The sequence below is a fragment of the Homo sapiens genome, chromosome 5 (genome assembly GCF_000001405.40).
Source record: "Homo sapiens chromosome 5, GRCh38.p14 Primary Assembly".
Lineage (NCBI taxonomy): Eukaryota > Metazoa > Chordata > Mammalia > Primates > Hominidae > Homo > Homo sapiens.
In genome coordinates, this window is record NC_000005.10 from 163497195 (window position 1) to 163519813 (window position 22619).

A 22619-nucleotide genomic window follows, 5' to 3' on the forward strand; every position below is an offset into this window, starting at 1 on the left:
ATTAATTCTCCCTTCCTTTGTTTTTTGTTCTACTCAGCCTTCAATGGACCCTCAATCAGCTTTAGTGCATCCACTAATTCAAATATTAACCTCATTCAGAAATACCCTCACAGACAGCCCCTGAAGTAGTGCCCACGGTCAACCTATGATCTAGTCAAGTTGATGTATAAAATTAAACATAACAATTAAACATCACACTGGGTTTGGGAACTGAACACCCTGTCTAGTCTAACTCATGCCCTATTGATCTACAATAAATTTTAACCTTGAATACTTGTTCGTGTTTCACACTGTTGACAAGAGAGGACAGAGGTCAGGATGCCCTGCCTCCTTCCTCAGTATCATTCTTTCAGATCCTCTTCTTGCTACTGTTCATGACTTCTATGTGAACACCCCCTAAAACAGGGTGAGAAGGATGACAGAGGTGGTGAAAATACGAAACTAGGCCCCAGAACCTATTTGTGGGTGAAGCTGGACCCCAAGACATCTATCCTTATGAAGGTTTTACTTGAGACTCCAACACTAGCTTATTCATTAGTCCTTTAAATTAGGAGTCATCTAAGCTCCCATCACAAAGCAAATTTCAACAAATAGATTTTCCAGAAACTGTTACAACAAAGAGGGTGGGGTCAATACCTTGTCTCTTCATCTCTAGCCACAGTAACATTCATCCATTTTCCAACCTATTGTCTCTTCATCCATTAGGACTTTGTAGTTTTCAAGAAAAACGGTGAAAGCCAAACTAATTATCTTTAACAAGTGAATAATTATATACACATAGCCCACTGATTTGAATTGTTTAAAATCAATTCTCTTTTCTGGGAGAAACAATTTTAAAAAGTATTATCTTCATGTATTTACACACTTAAGAATTTAGTGGTCTGAGGATAAAATAGATTCACTTATAAGTCATGCTTTTGATTTTGATTATACTGCATTTCATTTATTCATTCATTTACATATTCAAAAATATTTATAAAATATTCATCCAGTGCCAGGGACTGAATTTGGTGCTGATACACAGAGGAGAACAAGACTTTGCCCCTTGCGTTTTTAAGTGAAAGGTGATAGATGTGAAGTAAATAATGGTCACACACACTTTTTTAATGGTAAAAAAATAAAGGTATAGGATACTGTGAGAGAGGAAAACATGAGGGTCTAAATAAGATTGGGGTGTATACTATTTGAGGAGAAAGGCAGACAAGGAAGGTAGAGTCAAAGATGCGGCACAGATCCTGCAGGGCCTTGTAGATGGGAAGTTACTGAAAGGTTGTAAGCAAGTAGTAAAATAACCTGAACTGTCTTTAAAGGATTATTCAGTCTGTGGTAGTGCAAGCAGATGTCTGGATATGCCAAAAGTGAAAGCCGAAGTAAGTCTTTCCAGTGGCCCTAATGGTCCTAACAGATCTACAATCTCACACTTCCACTCGCTTCCCTCTCTGGCTTTTTTCCTTCTCCTTCTCCTTCTCCTTTTATTTATTTATTTATTTATTTGAGACAGGGTCTTGCTCTGTCACCCAGACCGAAGTGCAGTGGTACACTTCCTGGCTCACTGCAGCCTCAACCTCCCAAGCTCAAGTGATCCTCCCACTTCAGCCTCCCAAGCAGCTGGGACTACAGCTATGTGCCACTATGCTCGGCTAATTCTTTTGCATTTTTTTTTTTTATGAAGATGGGGTTTCATCATGTTGCCCAGGCTGGTCTCAAACTCCTGGGCTCAAGCAATCTACATGCCTCAGCCTCCCAAAGTGTTGGGATTACAGGTGTGAGCCACCTGGCCCAGCTTTCCCTATTTTATTCTTTTTAGCCACACTGGACTCCTTGCAGATGCTTGAGCACATCAGGCTGAGTAGGCCTATCTTCTGTGCACTTGATTCATCTGCCTGGAATGTTCTCTTATCATATATTTTTGAAACCACTGAAGGGAGGAAGCTCCTTGGACCTGCTCTCTGGGAAACTGTGATGCAGAGATCTGGCTGACTTCTCTGATGTATAGCCTGAGTGGGAAGTAAAAACTTTCCAAGGTTAAGCACGGTGATCTTGGATTTGTTACCTTAGTGTAAAACTAGCCAATCTTGACAAATAAATACCATAGTTAACAAAGCAGACAAAAAATATTAATTTTTAATAAAAAGCTTTAGTCTTTAAATATTTTTCAATCTGTTAATTTAAAATATTGTCAAGTTTAATTTTCATTTTCTTGACTACTGGTAAGTTCCAGCATGTTGTCCTGTGTGTTTTTGCCTTTTGACTTTTATTAACAACGAATTGCTTTTTACATTTGATCTTATTTTCCTTCAGTTTGTCTTTTGGCTTTGTTAATTATCATTATTGTTGTTGTGCAGCTTTTTACAAAAATCTATGCAGTTTAATTTATTGATATTTTCCCTTTTGGTTTCTAAATGCCATAATATGGTTATAAAAGGTTTCCTCACGTCAAGATTATTTTATATATACTCTTCTAATGCTTTTGTTCCACTTTTTTAGTTTAACTTTTGTTTAACCATGATAAATGAAACAATAATAGTTCAACTTTTTAAATTTGTAAAGTACTTATTTTAGTATAAGTGAATTAGAATCCAGCCTTATTTTTTTTCAGTTTCCACACAAAGCATTGACAGCCTTATTTTTTTAATGATCCATTTTAAATTTACTATGTTTATCCCCTAATAAATTTTCATATGCATACTTGAATCTAGCTGAGTTAATTAGTGTAATAGTATCTTTCAGACAAACTTGGGAGGTTAAGAGGAAGATTAGGTTTGGGAGACAAGATGACAATAAATTAATTTAATCTATTTTAGAATTTCACATAAGTAAAATCATACTCTTTTGTATTTAGTTTCTTTTACTCATCATAATGACTTTGAGATTCATTTACATAGTTCATTTCTTTGTATAGCTAAGTAATATTCCACAGTATAGATACACCACTATTTGTTTACCCATTCATCTGCTGATGGATGTTTATGTTGTTTCCAGTTTTAATCTGTTTTGAATTAAGCTGCTATGAATATTCTTGTGTGAGTCTTTATAAATATATGTTTTATTTCTCTTGGGTAAGCACCTAGAAGTAGAATTACTGGGTCATGGAATAGGTGTATGTTTTTTGTTTGTTTCTTTGTTTGTTTGTTTGTTTTTGAGATGGAGTCTCTCTCTGTCACCCAGGCGTGAGTGCAGTGGCACAATCTCGGCTCACTGCAACCTACGCCTCCCGGGTTCAAGCGATTCTCCTGCCTCAGCCTCCTGAGTAGCTGGGATTACAGGCACACGCCACCACACCCACTAATTTTTGTATTTTTTTCAGTAGAGACGGGGTTTCTTCATGTTGGTCAGGCTGGTCTCTCACTCCTGACCTCATGATCCACCTGTCCCGGCCTCCCAAAGTGCTGGGATTACAGGCATGAGCCACTGCGCCTGGCCAGAATAGGTGTTATGTTTAACTTTATTTTATTTTATTTTCTTCCTTTTTTTTTCTTATTGTTCTTATTTCTCTGAGGCATACATGTAACCTTATAAAAACTGCCAGTTTTCTAAAGTGGTTGTATCATTTTATACTCCCTCTAGCAATAAAAGAGCATTCTAGTCATTCAAAATGCTTGTTAGTGAAGGAGTTGAGAATATACTACTCCAAAATATGCCACACTGGCATTTTGACTATTTTAAGTTAAATATGCTTAAAAAACAGCAGGCACAAGAAGATCACCGTGACCTTTCTTCTGTTTCTTAAAAGCAGATGAAATTCTCACATGAATGATGCCCTCCCGTACCAGAAGTAAAGTAACATTCCTATCACCAAAGACAGGAAGTTAATGCCAAGATAATTCTGTACCAACCTTATTAAAATAACTGATCTTCTAGCCTCAAAAATTTACTTTTTCACAATTTAGTATTCTGTCTAATTTGGTATTTAATTGCAACTCTAACTCCATCTTTGGGTCTTCACTTCCTTTGGAAGGGCCCATGCCACATTAAGTTTGTATAAAATAGTCTTGTATGTTGATCTACCTTAATTTAATTCTTAAGTCTAGCCAGAAAACCCTGAAAAGGTGGAAGTAAAATTTGCCTCCCTTATATTATCATTTGATGCTTTCAGTCTTTAACTTTGGCCATTCTGTTAGGTATGTAATGGTATCTTGATGTGGTTTTAATTTGCTTCTCTAATGTTGAGCATCTTTTTATGTACTTATCGGCTATTCTTATATCTTCCTTTTTAAAGTGTTGTCTGAACTGGGCGCTGTGGCTCATGCCTGTAATCCCAGCACCTTGGTAGGCTGAGGCAGGCGGATCACTTGAGGTCAGGAGTTCGAGACCAGCCTGACCAACATGGTGAAACACCGTCTATACTAAAAATACAAAAATTAGCCGGGTGTGGTGGCATACACCTGTAATCCTAGCTACTCAGGAGGCTGAGGAAGGAGAATTGCTTGAACCCGGGAGGCGGAGGTTGCAGTGAGCCGAGATCATGTCACTACATTCCAGCCTGGGCAGCAGAGCGAGAGTCCGTCTTAAAAATAATAAATAAGGGCCGGGCGCGGTGGCTCACGCCTGTAATCCCAGCACTTTGGGAGGCCGAGGCGGGTGGATCATGAGGTCAGGAGATCGAGACCATCCTGGCTAACAAGGTGAAACCCCGTCTCTACTAAAAATACAAAAAATTAGCCGGGCGCGGCGGCGGGCGCCTGTAGTCCCAGCTACTCGGGAAGCTGAGGCAGGAGAATGGCGTGAACCCGGGAAGCGGAGCTTGCAGTGAGCCGAGATTGCGCCACTGCAGTCCGCAGTCCGGCCTGGGCAACAGAGCGAGACTCCGTCTCAAAAAAGAAAAAAAAAAAAAAATAATAATAATAATAATAAATAAATAGCGTTGTATGGCAGATGCACCTGACAGCAATAACTTTAAGCATACCCTGAGAATACCCTGTGGTCTAAGAAGAATGTGTGCTTGGAGCTAAGGAATCCGGGAATGGCCAAGGCGAATATTCACTCCTTATCTGTGGAGCTGCTTGGGAGGCTGAGGCTGTAGAATTACGTGGGGCCCAGGAGTTCGAGGCTGCAGTGAGCTGTGATGGCACCACTGCTCTCCAACGTGGGTGACAGAGGGAGACCCTGTCTTGAAATAATAAAAATAAATAAATTATGCCCAGTTAGCCACTTGGGATCCATCTTGAAGGACTGGCTTTTTCAGGTTCACATTTGTTCACAAATGCAAACACACACACAACAATTCCTCATAATTTATATTAATAGATTTCTCTGAATGCCTCTTAGAGTTTACCATGCGCTGTGTGCTCTAAATGAATGTAACATTAAAAGTCAGATGATTTTTTTAGTTCAATTTGAATGGCAATTTTTGATGTTCTTAAATTGGTACAGAGCCATAATTCAGAATAGCGGTGCAAAGCTCACTGAGCACGTTCATGACCCTTGAAAGTCTTCGAAAACAGATTACTGGGCTTCGCTCCCAGAGAATGATTTCGTTTCTTAGGTTCTGTGGTGCAGGCAGGTTTGGAAATCACTTATCTAGAAGTCCTTAATGCTTTGTGAAACTTAAGGCCGCTCACTCCATCTACCATTTTCTCAGAGGGCAGCATAGTATTAATGGAAATGACCCGTTGCATTTTACTTCTTGCGTGCTGTTACCACCACTGCCTTTTACTCTCCTTTGAAATAATTAAAAGCACTGGGAAGGGAAAGCACTGGAGAATTTTACTAAACATAATCTGTTGCAATAAGGTGTAACTAAATAAAATGATAGAAAACTGTGCCTTTTAGAACAGGAATCAACTGCATGATCTGTGTGCTTTCCAAAAGTGTGGCTCACTCTTCTTTTGCAAAAGAAAACTACAAGGAATCTTGACAGGAAGTTGTTGGGTTTTTGTTTTTGTTTTTGTTAAGTAGTTAGTTCTACCAAATAGTTTTGCAAATAGACCCAGGCTTGACTGGCAATTAAACATGAAACTTCTCATTGGGTATTTTCGAGACTACTACGGGGAATCAGCTACCAGCTTACTGCCATGTGGAGAACTGCACGAGATTCCGGGATTGGAATCAAAATGCTAATTTAAAAGGTCAAGTGAAGCTGCTCCTCACGTTTTGGCGTGCCTGCGCTCTCTGCAGGCAGAAGCGAACAAAGACCCAGCAAGAGAAGGCAGAGGCTAAGACCCATCCCGTATCTGCTCTCCTGAAATAATTCTGGAGTCATGCCTGAAATGCCAGAGGACATGGAGCAGGTAAGAACTAGCAATTCAAGAAATGAAGCATTCTAGAGTAAGAGATGCTTTAAAAGCATTCCAGTGAACGCCTGCTAAAACCAGAATTGTTGTGTAAAGAAAATAGAAACGGGTGTCATTCATTTCCTTAAAACATAACCTCGGGACATGGAAGAATAAGCCAACTTTAGTTACTGACCCGGAGAACCAGGTTATGAAGGGCTCAGCTAAGTCTCACTAGCTGACAATACAGAATTGCACTTTCATTTACCATTTTAAATGCAATTATGTATATAAAGTTTCTACATAAATAAGGATTTTATCTGTAGTGTGTTCCTTTCCAGATGTTCTTTGTCTTTGTATGAATTGAATCTGCTAACATAACTTTTAGTTTCAGGCTGCTCTCTTTAAATGTATAGACTTAGCCACCACACGAAGTTGTATATTGTCTATGTTAAGAATGGCGTTTGATTCGCATAGACCCTACCATCATTAAAGAAAATGATTAAAAACCATATCCAAACATATGCCCCTAGAACTGTACCCAACTTTTACGGGGAAAGTATCAAGTCAGATTTTCAAAAGCAGCCAAGTTAAATTCTTTCTGTTCCTCAAGACTAGGCTGCTCTGAGAATCAGAATGCTAATTGCATATGCTTGCCCTTAAACCTGCTTCACGTTGAAGAATGAAGAATTAATTTTCTTTTCTCCCATAGAAAGGTAAGATTACATCACGTGTTGCGACTAGAAACTTTAAACCGAATTCCCAGTTAAGAGAAAAAGTAGTAAGATGATCTTGGCTGCTCCCCCGGCCCTCTTCCCGCCCTCTTCTTTGTTGTCCCCTGATTATGCTTGTTTAGCGCTGGGGCAGTCCTCAAGGATTCCCTAAATAAAGCCAAACTAATGAACAGTAATAGCCTGTGTTTAAAAAAAAAAAAAATCGGAACATAAGAAACCTCAGGCTGTCTTCGATTACTGTTCTAGAGAAACTTTATGTTTACACGAATAAGGAAATGAGTTTTTGTTGGGGGTTGAGGAGGAAGGAAAGTCATGGTGTTCTGACGTGGAAAACTTCTTTAAAAGGCTGCTTAGTCTTTAGTTTGAAAATAAACCAAAAAGGTTTAGGAGTCGGGGAAAGGCCCTAGGAAAATCCAGACAGTGGTCACGTTTGTGGACGACGTTTAGAGCTTGCTATCCTGGGCACACAAGAACCCTTGGACTGTTCGGTGCAAAGTTGGCAAATCCTACACGGCCTGTGCCAGGGTTTACTTTCTGCATCAATTTCACAGGCGTCCAGCCTGGCTGAGGATTTTTTGCGGTTTTTAACTGGAAGGGAAATAAGTCGGCATCAGCACTTAGGGCTGCTTAACTTTTAAAAGGTGGTAGAACGCCCAGCCTTACACGCTGCTGCTTAAATTCTCGGTGCTCACCAAGGCTGGGCTCGTGTGGCCCAATCCTGCAATCCCCGAGGCGGTGTTTCTTAAAGAGTGGGCTTGATTCTGGTTAAACCCATTAAGAAGTCGGACCCCGGGCTCGTTTCTTGTTCTGTAATTATGGGTAAAGTCCAAGGATCTGCGTTTTGAAGAGGTACCTAAGTAGTTCATCTTCCTTCCCCCTACAACTTTTTATTTTTAATTAGTTAAAAATAGTTTTACATTTTTGATATCTCACACACAGGTTTTTTCTTTTTTTAAGCATCCCAGGAAGACAAATGGCTCAGACGCCAACCCTTTTATTTTTATTCCTTGTCTTTTTCTAAATCTTTCAAAACCCCCACCTAGAGCTCTAGAGATGTGTCCATTATGCTCTACCCACCTCCGCCCCCGCCCCCATGACTTTAAAATGCTTTTTATTCCACTTTTTATATTGCTCAGTCGATCCTCATGCACTGCGCAGTCTGCAAACTTGAAACTCAAGGCGATCCACTTCAATCTTTTCCCGAGTCAAGAAAAAAAGGAAAAAAAGTAGAATAAAAAGCACTCAAATAAAATCTCCGAAACAAAACCTGAATTCACTGCCTAAGGTCAGGGCCTTTCTTTTGTGTGTCGCTTTAAGCATCGGCGCGTGGGCTGGGGGCAGACCGCGCGTACCCGCCCTCTTTCTGGGGCGTCGGCGGAGCGTGGCCAATCAACGGGCGCGGCTATGGCAGCGGAAGCCGGAAGCGGCGAGCGGGGTCGTTCTGGGCCTAGGGGAGGCGGGCCGAGGGCGTCTGAGCTGAGGCCCGCGTCGATCCTGGGTTGGAGGAGGTGGCGGCCGCTGAGGCTGCGGCGTGAAGACGGCGGGCATGGTGGGGCGGGAGAAAGAGCTCTCTATACACTTTGTTCCCGGGAGCTGTCGGCTGGTGGAGGTGAGGGAGTCGGCCTGGGCGTCTCCGGTGGGAGCGGGGGCGCCGAGGGGGACGAGCCACCGGGGCTCGGGCGGCTTTGCAGGCGTATTCCGCCCGGGTCAGAGCCTCCGGCCGGGAGTGGTCTCACCGCCACCCTCCCAGCCCCGGATCCGAGGGGGGCGCCACCGAGTTTGTTTATCTCAGCGCACACGGGTCAGTGTTTTTTTCTTCCAGCCACTGCGGCAGGAAGCAAGTAGGTGGAGGTTTTACTTTCGAGTTCTGTCTCTGCTCCTGAGGACGAAGAGGTTTTTCAGAATTGTTTGTTTTGATTTTGGTTTTCCCCGTTTATTCATCTTTGGTTCGTATTTCTCGATCTTACAAGTTCGTAGGTTTGAGAAAGAACAGGAAAAGGTGACTTCTCACAAATAACAGTGCTGGAGATGACAACTTATTGAACTCTTAAGTTCTCAGCACTATGTTATGCACTTGACGGGCATTACTTTAATCCTCCACTGTGAGATACTTGTTATTGCCTCATTTTGTAGACGAGAAAACGGGCATAGAGGGTGAGACATTGGCCCAGGTTCATTCCGTAAGGTTGGAGCCTGGAATTCAGATACAGGTTTGTGTGACTGTCTTGGGCTTTGAACCACTACGGAGTTTCCCTGAAGGAAGATTATGGTGATGATTGGAAGATCCATCTCTGGTGCCCCCCTCGCCCCCGTCCCATCCTGCTCCATTCCACTTAAGGGCCTCCAGCATTAATCTGTCCACAGAACATATCCAACCCTGGGGATAAGAACACTACTAATGCCCAGACCATGTCTTTTGGAGAGAGTAGAGAATATAGGAGATGGCTGTTTCTGTTATTGCAAAGTTTTCATGCTTCCAAATTTACTTAGGGTTTTCAAATCACTTTGGTTCTTTGAGGGTAAAGTTAGGATAAATGGTCTATTAAACCTCTATGTTCCTAGGTCCTCCAGACCGTGCTGAGTGCATGTTACATACGTTTACATTTATATGTATGCATTTGTATGTGTACGTGTGCATATAAAGCTTAATCTACTTTCACAAAAAGAAGTTCAGTATAAAAATGAAAATAGCTTTTCGTGTTTTCCTTCATTAAAAATGAAACAACGAAGAGCTTGGCACAGACTTACTGCTCTCAAAACCTGTAGAATTAAAGCTTACTGACTCATGAGAACGAGAACTGTCTCATAGTTAACGTTAGAGAAGCATCCTGGAGTGGTTGTTGTTAGTAATACTGTCTGTGGAGCACAGTAGCGTCGCAGTAGAAGTTAGACCAATCCCACCTAAGTAGTCAGAGAATCTTAAAAAGTAAAGCCCAGTAATGTTTACCTTAAGGGTCTGTTTCTGGGGAATTAAAAAATTAAACATGGAACTGTGCCAAGTTTTAAAGTTTCCAAAAACGACAAGGTATTTACCACTGAAATTTGGGAAAACCACATACTAATAGTATTCCATTCTTTACTTTTCTAGAACATTTTTAGTAGACATTAATGCAGGTGTGCTAAAGTAGAAATCACTGTCCCAGAGTACTGTGTTGGACCATTTGGAAGGAGCCATGTATCTCCCATTACCTATACAATTTGGTATCATTCGATTAGATACGATAATAAGAATATTTATTTATATGTACTTAATTTTTCAAGAAATGTTTTTTTGGTGTCCATAAATCTGGTCCCTTGGAGTGATTGAATTCCGTACTTCAGAGTTTAGACAATAAGAGGCAGATACGTTTAGAGTAACTTAAACTGATATTAGATCTACTTTCCCCCATATAATAAAAATTGAGAAAAAGTAGACTTCAGGCAAAGTATTATCAACTCTTTATTGTGCCTTGAGTGAACTAGATAGCATTTTATTCTTTCATTCTGACTTTCTTAAAGTGTTTAGACATTTCTTCCTTGTGCACAACTAAAATAATTTATGGAGTGCAGGTCCAAAGTAGTTTTTAGAGGGATATTTCTTTTTCTAAAGAACGAACCAAAAAGCCTCAACAAAACAGTGTAAAAGGCAGAGTATTGCTTATATAGAAGCTCAAAAACAGAGATATTTGTTTGGCATATTTTAAATTTCGGAGTAATGCATATTCAGAGGAAAAGTTACCTTATTTAAGTAAACGAAACTATTCGGACTCCTCGTGGTAGGGATAATATGGAAAATGTTAGAAATATAGAACTTTAAAGCTGAAAGAGCCTTAGTCATTTTGTCTAAATGCCTTCCCCATTTACCAATGAGGAATTAGATCAATAGAGATAGAATAACTTCTAAACACCAATTTGTGGCAGAACAGATAAAACTTTAATCATTCATGAAACCAAATATTAGTTCACAGGATTGAGACAAAATGCAGTGTATTTGACTTGACCAGAGAAGCAAGACTCAGGTTCTGGTTCCAGCTTTTTCTCTTTTACTATAGACAAAACATTTAACACTGGACTTCTTGTTACTCTCTTTGGAAATAATATCTCTTCTAACAAGCTGCTGGGTTTTTTTGTTTTCTTTTTTTTCCTCTTGCTCTTTCACCCCGTCTGAAGTGCAGTGGCTCAATCTCTGCTCACTGCAACCTCTGCCTCCAGGGTTCAAGCGATTCTCCTGCCTCAGCCTCCCAAGTAGCTGAGATTATAGGCGCCCACCACCATGCCCGACTAGTTTTTCTATTTTTGGTAGAGACAGCGTTTCACCATGTTGGCCAGGCTGGTTTTGAACCCCTGACCTCAAGTGGTTGGTCCACCTTGGCCTCCCAAAGTGCTGGGATTACAGGCGTGAGCCCTGGCACCCGGCCTCAAACTGCTATTAAAAAAACAAAAACAGCTATGATTGTATACTTATATAACACGTTAGTTTTCTTTTTTTTGGTTTTTTTGTTTGTTTGTTTTTTTGAGATGAAGTCTAGCTCGTGTCCCCCAGGCTGGAGTGCAGTTGTGCGATCTCGGCTCACTACGACCTCCGCCTCCTGGGTTCGAGCGATTCTCCTGCCTCAGCCTCCCGAGTAGCTTAGATTACCTAAAATTACCTAGAAAAAAATATGAAACAGTGTACAGTACCCAGCAGTCAGGTGTCAGTGCTCAAGATTTTTATTAAGAGTGACGATCTGAAGTGCAAGCATTTACTGAAATGGAAATGATACTGCACAACATTTTATTTGAAAATTAACATGTTATAGGCCGGGCGTACTGGAGGCCTTACATAGTAACCCAGGGGTATAAGGATATAAAGTTGCATTTTCTCATACAACTCCACTTCCTTTTTTACGTTAAGGTATTATATTCCCTAAAGAGCCTTGTTCTTCTCTATACTTAATACTGCATCAACTCCAAGAAGCTCTTAATTAAAAGAAGATCATCTGGGCTCTTAAGTTGCATTAAGTTAGCAAAAACTACTGCAAAACTGTGACGATTCATAAGATTTTTTTTAAATTCATTTAACAGATGTTAAAATGAAACTGTACTTCACAGAGTCAGTGAAGTACACAGATCTTAATTCATTGTTTAGTAACTTTTGTGGATTGTATAATGCTTTGGCTTCTATTTCAAGTTTTCTTTTTTAAGGGGGAAAGATACTGTTGTCATTTTGAGAAAGGTAGATGGCACTTTTTGTTTTCCTTGTGTAAGAGAAACGGATTGTTATGAAAGCTTTGAACTTTCCTGGAGTTCGAGAGTACACTGGTCCTCTAAGTGCGGTCTCCAAATCACGATGATCAGCATCACTTGTTGGAACTTGTTGGGAATGCAAATTATCAAGCCCCACCCCAGACCTTTGTGATCTAAAAGCCCTCCAGGTGATTCTGATCCACACTGAAGCACGAGAACCACTGACCTTAGGAACTGTTACCTGTTCCTTTGCTTCCGTAGAGTGAAGTAAAAAGTGAGGAACTCAGAAGAAACCAAATTATCTCTCTTTTAGAGTATTTTTTCAGGAATCTTTACCGTATTTATCCTGTGTAAATTGTTTTCTCTGACTGTATCTGTACTAGACTTGGCATGTTTTCTCCTCTTTACAGTTCAATCTTTGTAGAGCTGTTTTCTTGCCAAATTTCAAAGAAAATATTTTGTTGGCTGAAATCCTTGTTTTCATAGATCAGTTGGTTTAGAGCCAAGTTTTGCAACACAGCCTGAATGAAATTGCTTTCAACTTTTAAAATGTCTTGAAATTGGTTGAACTAAGGAAAAATAATCCTAAGAATTTACCTTTATACTATCTTTCCCTGTTAGTCTTTTCATTTTACGTTTTTGATTGCTAGAAATACTTGATTTTGGTGTCTTTTAAAAAAAAATGTATGTATTCGGCTAAGTAATTTAATTGAGCTAAGGGCTTTAAAAGGTCTTTGGTTATTGTATATGTATTTAAAGATTTTGACAGCCCAGAATTAGGTGATTATAACAACTCTTGAGTTAAAATAACTGGTTTGTTTTTAATAGTAAAAGTTGACTTTATTCAAGATCCTGGTTGGAAACTTGGTGTTACCCATCTTGGGAAGAAGGGACATTTTTGGAACTATGCTTGGAAACATAGAATTTAAATTTTTTCCTAAATAGTGGTTCTTTTTCATTTCTGTGTGTAATAATTTATTTGTTTCACAGTAGCAACACAGATGAGCTTAAAATATTTTTTCTTATCCTTTGCGTTTATTAGTTTTAGCTTTTTTTTTTTTTTTTTTGAGATGTAGTCTTGCTCTTGTTACCCAGGCTGGAGTGCAGTGGTGCCATCTTGGCTCATTGCAACCTCCGCCTCCTGGGTTCAAGCAATTCTCCCGCCTCGCCTCCCGAGTAGCTGGGATTACAGGCACCTGCAACCACGCCTGGCTAATTTTTTTGTATTTTTAGAAGAGATGGGGTTTCACCATGTTGGCCAGGCTGGTCTTGAACTCCTGACCTCAGGTGATCTGCCCAGCTTGGCCTCCCAAAGTGCTGCGATTACAGGCATGAACCACTGCACCTGGCCAATTTTAACTCTTCTATGTAGGTAAATTTTGGGTTAACTAAGGAACATTTACCAATTTGGTTAAACTTAGAAAGCATTTAAGTGTTGTAAGGACCAAGTTTTTTTTCCTCCTCGTATATTCCTTTGAAATGTTGATTAATTCTCTACCTTGGGTCCATCAAAATATGATAAATTATTGAGACTTGAAAGAACATTTGGGATTAAAATCTGAAGACCAGAAATGTCAGCTTGTAAATATATTGGCAGATTTGACGCAAATACTAATCAGGCCTTAAAATAGGTAAACTTAAAACACGTTTCTCTCTAGAGACTCAAAGAGCACCTTCAGTCGTATCTATAGAAGCAAGACAAATTGTAAAGTCTTATAAACTGAAGAATGTAATGTTGTTATTTACTATTTAGGTACTTGGAGCAAAAGTATAAAAAAAGTTGCTGTTTACTAACTCATTTGGGTATTATCAATCATAAAAATAGGATTTTCTGTTAACATAGGAAATATAAATCTACATAATTCCTTGCATATCATCTTGTGTTCCTTTCCTTGGGTAAGATTATTATAACTTTTTTAATTAAAAAAATTTTTTTTTTGAAACAGGGTCTCACTCTGTCCCCCAGACTGGAGTGCATGTCATGATCTCTGCTTATTACAGCCTTGGCCTCCCAGGCTCGTGATCCTCCCACCCCAGCCTCCCAAGTAGCTAGGACTACAGGCATGCACCACCTGTAGCTCAGCTAATTTTTGCTTTTTTTTTTTTTTTTTTTTTTTTGGAAGGACGGGTTTTCACCATGTTGCCTAGGCTGGTCTCGAACTCCTGGGCTCAAGTGATCCACCTGCCTTGGCCTCGCAAAGTGCTGGGATTAAAGGCATGGGCCACCATGCCTGGCAAAAGCTTTTTCTTAAGTGATACAGTTTTTTATATGGTTTGATTAATCATTGTTCTAACTTTATTTATTACATTTTTAAGTTGTGTTTTCTGCTTTTTTTATTTTAAAAATTTATTTTTATAAATACAAAGTATATTTTTACTGTTTTTTTGTATTGAGATGGGTCTCATTATGTTACCCAGGCTGGTCTCAAGTTCCTGGGCTCAGCGGAGCTGCCTGCCTCGCATTCCCAAAGTGTTGGAATTACAGGCATGAGCCTGATGCCCGACCCTAACTTAACTTTAGAATTGGCTTGCAGATATGGGACATGAGTCAAAATACGTAGAATTAAGACATTTAGGGAACAACGATGGTGCCTAATATATTTGAGAGAACTGTTTTCAAAGTTAGTAACTCTTTCTATCCGCCTTCACCTTTTAGGAGGAAGTTAACATCCCTAATAGGAGGGTTCTGGTTACTGGTGCCACTGGGCTTCTTGGCAGAGCTGTACACAAAGAATTTCAGCAGAATAATTGGCATGCAGTTGGCTGTGGTTTCAGAAGAGCAAGACCAAAATTTGAACAGGTTAATCTGTTGGATTCTAATGCAGTTCATCACATCATTCATGATTTTCAGGTATGATTTAGGTTATTTTAAGATATACATGAACAATATTAAGAGTTGTCTGGATGATACAGAAACTATCCTTGCTCTCAAGGAAATTACTATGTTTGAAAGCTCTAAAGTTGTATTATGCAGTAGCATTTTTTTCATTTAGCATGACATGGTATATGTAAACCTTAAAGTTAAATTTTGACACGCTGACAAAGACAAATATGAGACATTTTATAAAATGCTTATGTTTATAGAGTGCCTTCTAAGTAATACTTTCTCTGCAAATGGTTTTCAAATGTTACTGTAAACCTCACAACACTGCAAAATAGTTATTTTCATTTTAGGGCTGAGGGAGCAGGCTCAGAGAGGTTTTCGGTATCATTGATACTATTCTCCCTTTGACATGGATTTATTAGATATTTAAATCATGTTAATTGCATAAATGATAGCTCTTTCCTTTTGTCCAAATTGGGGGATAAAACTTGTTTTGATTTAGAAAGACTTCTGTTTTGTTCTTGTTTTTGTGACGTAATCTTGGTTTGTTGCCCAGGCTGGAGTGCAGTGGTGCAGTTGAGCTCACTGCAGCCTCCGCCTCCCAGGGTTCAAGCAATTCTCCTGCCTAAGCTTCCTGAGTACCTGAGACTACAGGCATGCGCAACCACACCTGGCTAATTGTTGTATTTCTAGTAGAGATGGGGTTTCACCATGTTGGCCAGGCTGGTCTTGAACTCCTGACCTCACGTGATCCACCCACCTCAGCCTTCCAAAGTGCTGGGATTACAGATTTGAGCCACCGCGCCCAGCCTAGAAACATGGTTGTTTTATTTTCAGACAGGGTCTCACTCTGTAGCCCAGGGTGAAGTACGGTAGATCGATCACAGCCCACTGTAGCCTTGAATTCCTTGGCTCAAGTGATCCTTCTGCCTCGGCCTCCACAACAGTTAGAACTACAGGCTCATGCCACCACGACTGGCTGATTTTTAAATTTTTTTGTAGAGATTGAGTACCAACCACTATGTTGCCTAGTCTTATCTTGAACTCCTGGCCTCAAGCATTGTCTCACCTCAGCCTCCCAAAGTGTTGGGATTACATGCATGAACCGTCACACCAGAGTAGAAATACAGTTGTTGACAGTTTTTTTCCTGGTTTGTGTCTGCATATTATGAAATACTCTTTTCAGTGCCTATAAATATTTTAAGTTTGAACCTTGCGGGGAAAAGAAGCAGCATGACAAAACTACATTAGAAATTACAATGATTTATTCTTAGTTGAAAGAATGTTGACTTACTGCACATTTTTCTCTGAATTAACTTTAAGAAGGCTGTAATACCTCTTTCATTTTATTTTGAGTTAAAAATACGTCAATGCTTAACTTCTAGCCCCATGTTATAGTACATTGTGCAGCAGAGAGAAGACCAGATGTTGTAGAAAATCAGCCAGATGCTGCCTCTCAACTTAATGTGGATGCTTCTGGGAATTTAGCAAAGGAAGCAGGTAATGATGACTTTATAAAATTTTCATAAAATATTAAGTGATTGCTGAGTTTTTAGAAATTAAGGTTTTGTAGATGGTTATTTGTTTTTATATATCATGAAAAACCATTCTAAATTCCATGAAAGAGTAATGTCATGTAAACATTTAATAGATTTGTCTTCTTTTTTTGTAGCTGCTGTTGGAGCATTTCTCATCTACATTAGCTCAGATTATGTATTTGATGGAACAAATCCACCTTACAGAGAGGAAGACATACCAGCTCCCCTAAATTTGTATGGCAAAACAAAATTAGATGGAGAAAAGGCTGTCCTGGAGAACAATCTAGGTAAGACCTAATCTATTTAGCCCCTGATTGTTTTTGAAGACTTTAAAAATCATTTATACATACACATATATATGTTTTAAATTTAAAAAGTCAATGAATATGAATCATTAGAGAAAAATTAGAATATAGTTAATAAAGAAAATAAAAAATTCTAAGAGATAACTACTTTGTGAATCCTTCAAGACAGTTTCCACTATCAGTGTTTACATATTCATCTTTACACATAGAAAACAAGTCAGGTAATACAAGCTTTTGTAACTCATTTTCAAAAAACAGGGCAGTATAATTTCTCTTAGAGTGAGATATTCTGTTTATGTATTCTGTTATATGTATGTTACTGTGTTATATGTGTATGTATTTTGTTTTTATGTATTCTGTTATATGTATGTTGTATGTATTAACATTCTATTATGGTGTTTCTTTTTTCCTGTATGTGAGTTTGTGTATAACACACATCTCCATATATAAAAAGTATACACTCCTTAGAAAAAATGTAAAATTACTAAGAACAAAAGTTCTCATAAATGCTGCCTCAGGGAGATAAACACCAAATATGGTTAAGTGTGGAAGCATTTTTATATATTTTCAAAAAATGTATGCATGTTGTTTCACAACCTGTTTTTTTTCCCTCAACATCTTTGCATTTTAGTACACATGGAACCTACTCTGGGATATCTTACTCCTATCAGTGGCTGCGTAGTACTTAATTTAATGGTCCCCTGCACTAAAACTACTGCCTTAGACTGTACTATGGCCTTGAGAAGCAGCCCTAGTGTAGAATACCTTACTAATGGACATTTAGTTTTTTAAAAAGTTTTCTTGTATTATAAATTATTCTGTTGAAATCATCCTTGAATACATTTGTCTTAGTTTATTTCGTGCTGCTATAACAGAATACCAACAACTCAGTAATTTATAAAGAACAGAAATTTATTTCACACAGTTCTAGAGGCTGAGAAGTCCAAGATCAAGGTGAGGGTCTTTCTGGTCCTCTGGAGGGGAGGAATGCTGTGTTCTCACGGCAGAAGAGCAGAAAGGGATGTGCTTCTTCCTTCAAGTCCTTTTATAATGGCATTAATCCATTCATAAGAGCAGAGTGCTGATGACCACCTAAACACCTCCCAAAATGCCCCACCTCCCAGCACTGTTGCTTCGTGGATTAAGTTTCAACATGAATTTTTGGAGAGGACAAAAACATTCAAACCATAGCAGTATCTAAGTTCTCTTGTCATGTAATTTAAAAGAAAATGTTTGATTTGCAGTTAAAGTGTTAACTATTGTATACCATCAGCAGGGACCATTATAAAATCTAAATATTAATGAGTGGTTGTAAAACTAATGTGAACACTCATATACCCTTCACATAGATTCACAAATTGTTGATGTTTTGTCACATTTGTTTTATATGTTTGCTTTTGCCAGACCCATTGATAATTAGTTGAATTTCATCTCCAAATACTTTACCTTTCTTTTATCTTCTAACAAGAAGAATGTTCTTCACATAATTACAGTGCAGTTATCATACATTTGGAAACTTAACATTAATATGGTACTGTAATCAAATACAAATCTATTTAGGAATTTTCTCATTTATGCCAAAAATGTCCTTTATTGCTTTTATTTTTTAATCTAGCATCCAGTCAAAGACTATTCATTGCATTCAGTTGTCATGATAAGTTTTATTTTTAATGATCATATTAATGTAGGATTTATATATATAAAAAAAACTAGTCCAAATGACAGAAGATACTTAACAAATGTGGTTTTGCCTTTTTCTTTTTTTTTTTTTTTTTTTTTTTTTTGAGACAGGGTCTCAGTCGCCTGGGCTGGAGTGCAGTAGGGTGAACACAGCTCACTATAGCCTTGACCTCCTTGGCTTAAGCAATCCTCCCACCACGAACGGCTAATTTTTTTACATTTTGTAGAGACGAGGTCTCACTGTGTTGTCCACGCTGGTCTCGAACTCCTGGGCTCAAGTAGTCCTCCTGCCTTGGACTCCCAAGTGCTGGAATTACAGTCATGAGCCCCACCGCACTCAGCCTTTGACTGTTTTTAATTTTATTTTTGAGGCAGGGTCTCACTCTGTTGCCCAGGCTGGAGTACAGTGGTGCAGTCATAGCTCATTGCAACCTTGAACTTCAGGCTCAAGAGATCCTTTTGCCTTACTCAGCCTCCCAAGTAGCTGGGACTACAGGCATGTGCCACCATGCCCAGCTAATTTTCATTTTAATTTTTTGTAGAGACGGAGTTTTGCTATGATGCCCGGGCTGATCTTGAACTCCTGGCTTCAAGTGATCCTTCTGCCTTGGCCTCCCAAAGTGCTAGCATTATAGGCATGAGTCACTGTGCCTGGCCTTGAATATTTTTACATTGCGTTGTCACAAGTGAGCTGTGTCATTTTGGTATATTTTAATTAAAAGGCAAGGTTTCTACTTTGATATTATTTAAATCCACACCCTTGTATCTTACATCAAAATTTAAGAATCAGTCAGCTTTAAATTATTTGCTTTTATTCTTCTCTAGGAGCTGCTGTTTTGAGGATTCCTATTCTGTATGGGGAAGTTGAAAAGCTCGAAGAAAGTGCTGTGACTGTTATGTTTGATAAAGTGCAGTTCAGCAACAAGTCAGCAAACATGGATCACTGGCAGCAGAGGTTCCCCACACATGTCAAAGATGTGGCCACTGTGTGCCGGCAGCTAGCAGAGAAGAGAATGCTGGTAAGAAGGATTCCTGAGTCCTGTCTTAGCGAAGGTCCGCTTTGTCTTTTCCATGCTTGAACTTTCACAGCTGTACTTGGAGTGTTACTGAGTGAAAGCCAAAAGTGCTTTTTTAAAACTAGGAGACCAAACAAAAGTAGTTTACATATACACTGTATTCATGAAGAATAAAAATATTATGCTCTTCTGTTTGAATTTATTTCTTATGTACTATAGATCCCATCATTTCTTTTATTGCAAAGTGTTAGGAAACTTCAAAATAATCATCTAAGGTCTTTTAAGAAGATACTCTTTGGGGGCTGGGCGTGATGGCTCACACCTGTAATCCCAGCACATTTGAAAAAGTTGGTATTAAATATAATATCCATACAAAGAAAGATGAGACTGATTTAGTTTAGAATATTAATAGGATGACCACAGTTTTTTAATATATGAGAATTATATTTTGTAATATATAACATGACAATATTTAAGAAAGTTTAGCTCAACTTGAAAAATGGTTCTATTAAGTTTTTGTTGTAGCTTGGGATAATTAAAAATACTCATTAAATTGTACTGTTTTCATAAAAATTTGTAATGCTTTTTTATATTCCCACTAATTAAGTAAAATTGGAGCCTTTTTTTGATTTTAAAAATTCTTAAGGTTTAAATTCTAGAAATTGCTCTTTTAAGTGTTTTGCTAAGAGTATTAGTAGGAATTTGATTTTAGATATCTTGTGGAGACCTTTCCAGAAAAAGAGGGTTGCCTTTTAGTTCCTGGACCTTATTTTAAGTAAGCTTTTTGGTCAAACCTATTCTACTCAGCTCAAAAAGTTGAAACTATTGAATTTATTGTGTCATCGTTCTTAGGATCCATCAATTAAGGGAACCTTTCACTGGTCTGGCAATGAACAGATGACTAAGTATGAAATGGCATGTGCAATTGCAGATGCCTTCAACCTCCCCAGCAGTCACTTAAGACCTGTAAGTACATGGCTGTAAAAACCTTTAGATCCATTGCTATGGTATATATTATTGCTGTGTTGGGTAACTTCATTTCTCAGTACTAATCAAAGTGAACTTTGCTTGTATGCTGGCTGTTCATAGTGCTACTTTTCTCTAAATTATCATCTGTAGAGAAGATCATGAGTATTGAAGTTTGTAGAAAATGTATTATTGTCTTGATCATGACAGGCATTTGGTTTATTTTTCCAGGGATGATCAAATCAGATTTCTTACACTAAGAGCAAAAATAAGTAGCAAATATAAAACCTCAAAATGGCCAGGCACAATGGCTCATGCCTGTAATCCCAACACTTTGGGAGGCTGACGCAGGAGGATCCCTTGAGCCCAGGAATTTGAGACTAGCCTGGGCAATGGAGGGAGATCTCATCTCTGTTTAAAAATATATACATATTTAAAAAAAGGTCAGGGGGAACAAAGCCCTCAAAATATAGCCTTTCACTTACTTTTGATTTTTTTGTGTTTATCTTTCTTTAAAGATTACTGACAGCCCTGTCCTAGGAGCACAACGTCCGAGAAATGCTCAGCTTGACTGCTCCAAATTGGAGACCTTGGGCATTGGCCAACGAACACCATTTCGAATTGGAATCAAAGAATCACTTTGGCCTTTCCTCATTGACAAGAGATGGAGACAAACGGTCTTTCATTAGTTTATTTGTGTTGGGTTCTTTTTTTTTTTTAAATGAAAAGTATAGTATGTGGCACTTTTTAAAGAACAAAGGAAATAGTTTTGTATGAGTACTTTAATTGTGACTCTTAGGATCTTTCAGGTAAATGATGCTCTTGCACTAGTGAAATTGTCTAAAGAAACTAAAGGGCAGTCATGCCCTGTTTGCAGTAATTTTTCTTTTTATCATTTTGTTTGTCCTGGCTAAACTTGGAGTTTGAGTATAGTAAATTATGATCCTTAAATATTTGAGAGTCAGGATGAAGCAGATCTGCTGTAGACTTTTCAGATGAAATTGTTCATTCTCGTAACCTCCATATTTTCAGGATTTTTGAAGCTGTTGACCTTTTCATGTTGATTATTTTAAATTGTGTGAAATAGTATAAAAATCATTGGTGTTCATTATTTGCTTTGCCTGAGCTCAGATCAAAATGTTTGAAGAAAGGAACTTTATTTTTGCAAGTTACGTACAGTTTTTATGCTTGAGATATTTCAACATGTTATGTATATTGGAACTTCTACAGCTTGATGCCTCCTGCTTTTATAGCAGTTTATGGGGAGCACTTGAAAGAGCGTGTGTACATGTATTTTTTTTCTAGGCAAACATTGAATGCAAACGTGTATTTTTTTAATATAAATATATAACTGTCCTTTTCATCCCATGTTGCCGCTAAGTGATATTTCATATGTGTGGTTATACTCATAATAATGGGCCTTGTAAGTCTTTTCACCATTCATGAATAATAATAAATATGTACTGCTGGCATGTAATGCTTAGTTTTCTTGTATTTACTTCTTTTTTTAAATGTAAGGACCAAACTTCTAAACTAATTGTTCTTTTGTTGCTTTAATTTTTAAAAATTACATTCTTCTGATGTAACATGTGATACATACAAAAGAATATAGTTTAATATGTATTGAAATAAAACACAATAAAATTAACACTTGATCCAGAATGTTAACTTACCACCCCATCCTAGAATGTTACAGTTACTGTATCTATTTGTGGGAACGGATTTGTTTTTAACTAAAAATTAATAGCTATATAATCTTGTTACATTATACAGTTGACCCTTGAACGGTGTGGGTTTGGGGTATCAACCTTGCACAGTCTAAAATCCACTATAACTCTGGACTCCCCAAATACTTAATTAGTAAAAACCTGCTGTTGACCAGAAGCCTTACTGATAAACATAGTCATTTAACATATTTCTATCTTCTGTGTATTACATACTGTATTCTTAAAGTAGCCTAGAGAAAAGAAAATATTATTAAGAAAATCTCAAGGAAGGGAAAATATATTTACTATTCATTAAGTGGAAGTAGATTATCATAAAGTTTTTTTTTTTTTTTTTTAGACAAGGTCTCGCTCTGTCGCATAGGCTGGGGTACAGTGGTGCATTCTCAGCTCACTGCAACCTCCGCCTCCTGGG

At 38.4% G+C, this 22619-nt stretch overlaps 1 protein-coding gene across 2 annotated transcripts, besides 6 other annotated features; it reads left to right on the forward strand.

Annotated features, from left to right (window-relative positions):
* Nucleotides 5734-6542: an enhancer, noted in NCBI's record as "OCT4-NANOG-H3K27ac hESC enhancer chr5:162929934-162930742 (GRCh37/hg19 assembly coordinates)". NCBI's record gives its function as "activates a minimal SCP1, AML or CMV promoter by ChIP-STARR-seq in primed H9 embryonic stem cells {active_cell/tissue: H9 hESC(primed)}" and the evidence as "EXISTENCE:reporter gene assay evidence [ECO:0000049][PMID:30033119]".
* MAT2B (methionine adenosyltransferase 2 non-catalytic beta subunit) lies at nt 5870-22160 on the forward strand. 2 transcript variants are annotated; one of them, NM_182796.2, is made up of 7 exons: nt 5870-6230; nt 14808-15002; nt 16361-16475; nt 16648-16800; nt 19324-19517; nt 20367-20480; nt 20999-22159. In NM_182796.2, the coding sequence occupies exons 1-7, from the start codon at nt 6201-6203 to the stop codon at nt 21167-21169; spliced, it is 972 nt and encodes a 323-aa protein (NP_877725.1). In that variant the 5' UTR covers nt 5870-6200; the 3' UTR covers nt 21170-22159. The 2 variants fall into 2 exon arrangements, with proteins under 2 accessions (NP_877725.1, NP_037415.1); NM_013283.5 differs by lacking the exon at nt 5870-6230 and adding an exon at nt 8425-8555 and having other exon boundaries at nt 20999-22160.
* Nucleotides 5878-5927: an enhancer, noted in NCBI's record as "active region_23579". NCBI's record gives its function as "activates an Ori minimal core promoter by ATAC-STARR-seq in GM12878 lymphoblastoid cells {active_cell/tissue: GM12878}" and the evidence as "EXISTENCE:reporter gene assay evidence [ECO:0000049][PMID:35858748]".
* Nucleotides 8158-8964: an enhancer, noted in NCBI's record as "H3K27ac hESC enhancer chr5:162932358-162933164 (GRCh37/hg19 assembly coordinates)". NCBI's record gives its function as "activates a minimal SCP1, AML or CMV promoter by ChIP-STARR-seq in primed H9 embryonic stem cells {active_cell/tissue: H9 hESC(primed)}" and the evidence as "EXISTENCE:reporter gene assay evidence [ECO:0000049][PMID:30033119]".
* Nucleotides 8182-8271: an enhancer, noted in NCBI's record as "active region_23580". NCBI's record gives its function as "activates an Ori minimal core promoter by ATAC-STARR-seq in GM12878 lymphoblastoid cells {active_cell/tissue: GM12878}" and the evidence as "EXISTENCE:reporter gene assay evidence [ECO:0000049][PMID:35858748]".
* Nucleotides 8312-8431: an enhancer, noted in NCBI's record as "active region_23581". NCBI's record gives its function as "activates an Ori minimal core promoter by ATAC-STARR-seq in GM12878 lymphoblastoid cells {active_cell/tissue: GM12878}" and the evidence as "EXISTENCE:reporter gene assay evidence [ECO:0000049][PMID:35858748]".
* Nucleotides 8602-8741: a silencer, noted in NCBI's record as "silent region_16591". NCBI's record gives its function as "represses an Ori minimal core promoter by ATAC-STARR-seq in GM12878 lymphoblastoid cells {active_cell/tissue: GM12878}" and the evidence as "EXISTENCE:reporter gene assay evidence [ECO:0000049][PMID:35858748]".
* Nucleotides 22161-22619: the final 459 nt, after the last annotated feature.

What these genes read in the sequence shown, in the direction of transcription:
- MAT2B (NM_013283.5), top strand. Translation starts at nt 8,493, where the DNA reads ATGGTGGGGCGGGAGAAAGAGCTCTCTATACACTTTGTTCCCGGGAGC. An exon ending in TAGCAGAGAAGAGAATGCTG is followed by an intron (nt 19,518 to 20,366) that starts GTAAGAAGGATT and finishes CATCGTTCTTAG; the next exon opens with GATCCATCAATTAAGGGAAC. An exon ending in CCAGCAGTCACTTAAGACCT is followed by an intron (nt 20,481 to 20,998) that starts GTAAGTACATGG and finishes CTTTCTTTAAAG; the next exon opens with ATTACTGACAGCCCTGTCCT.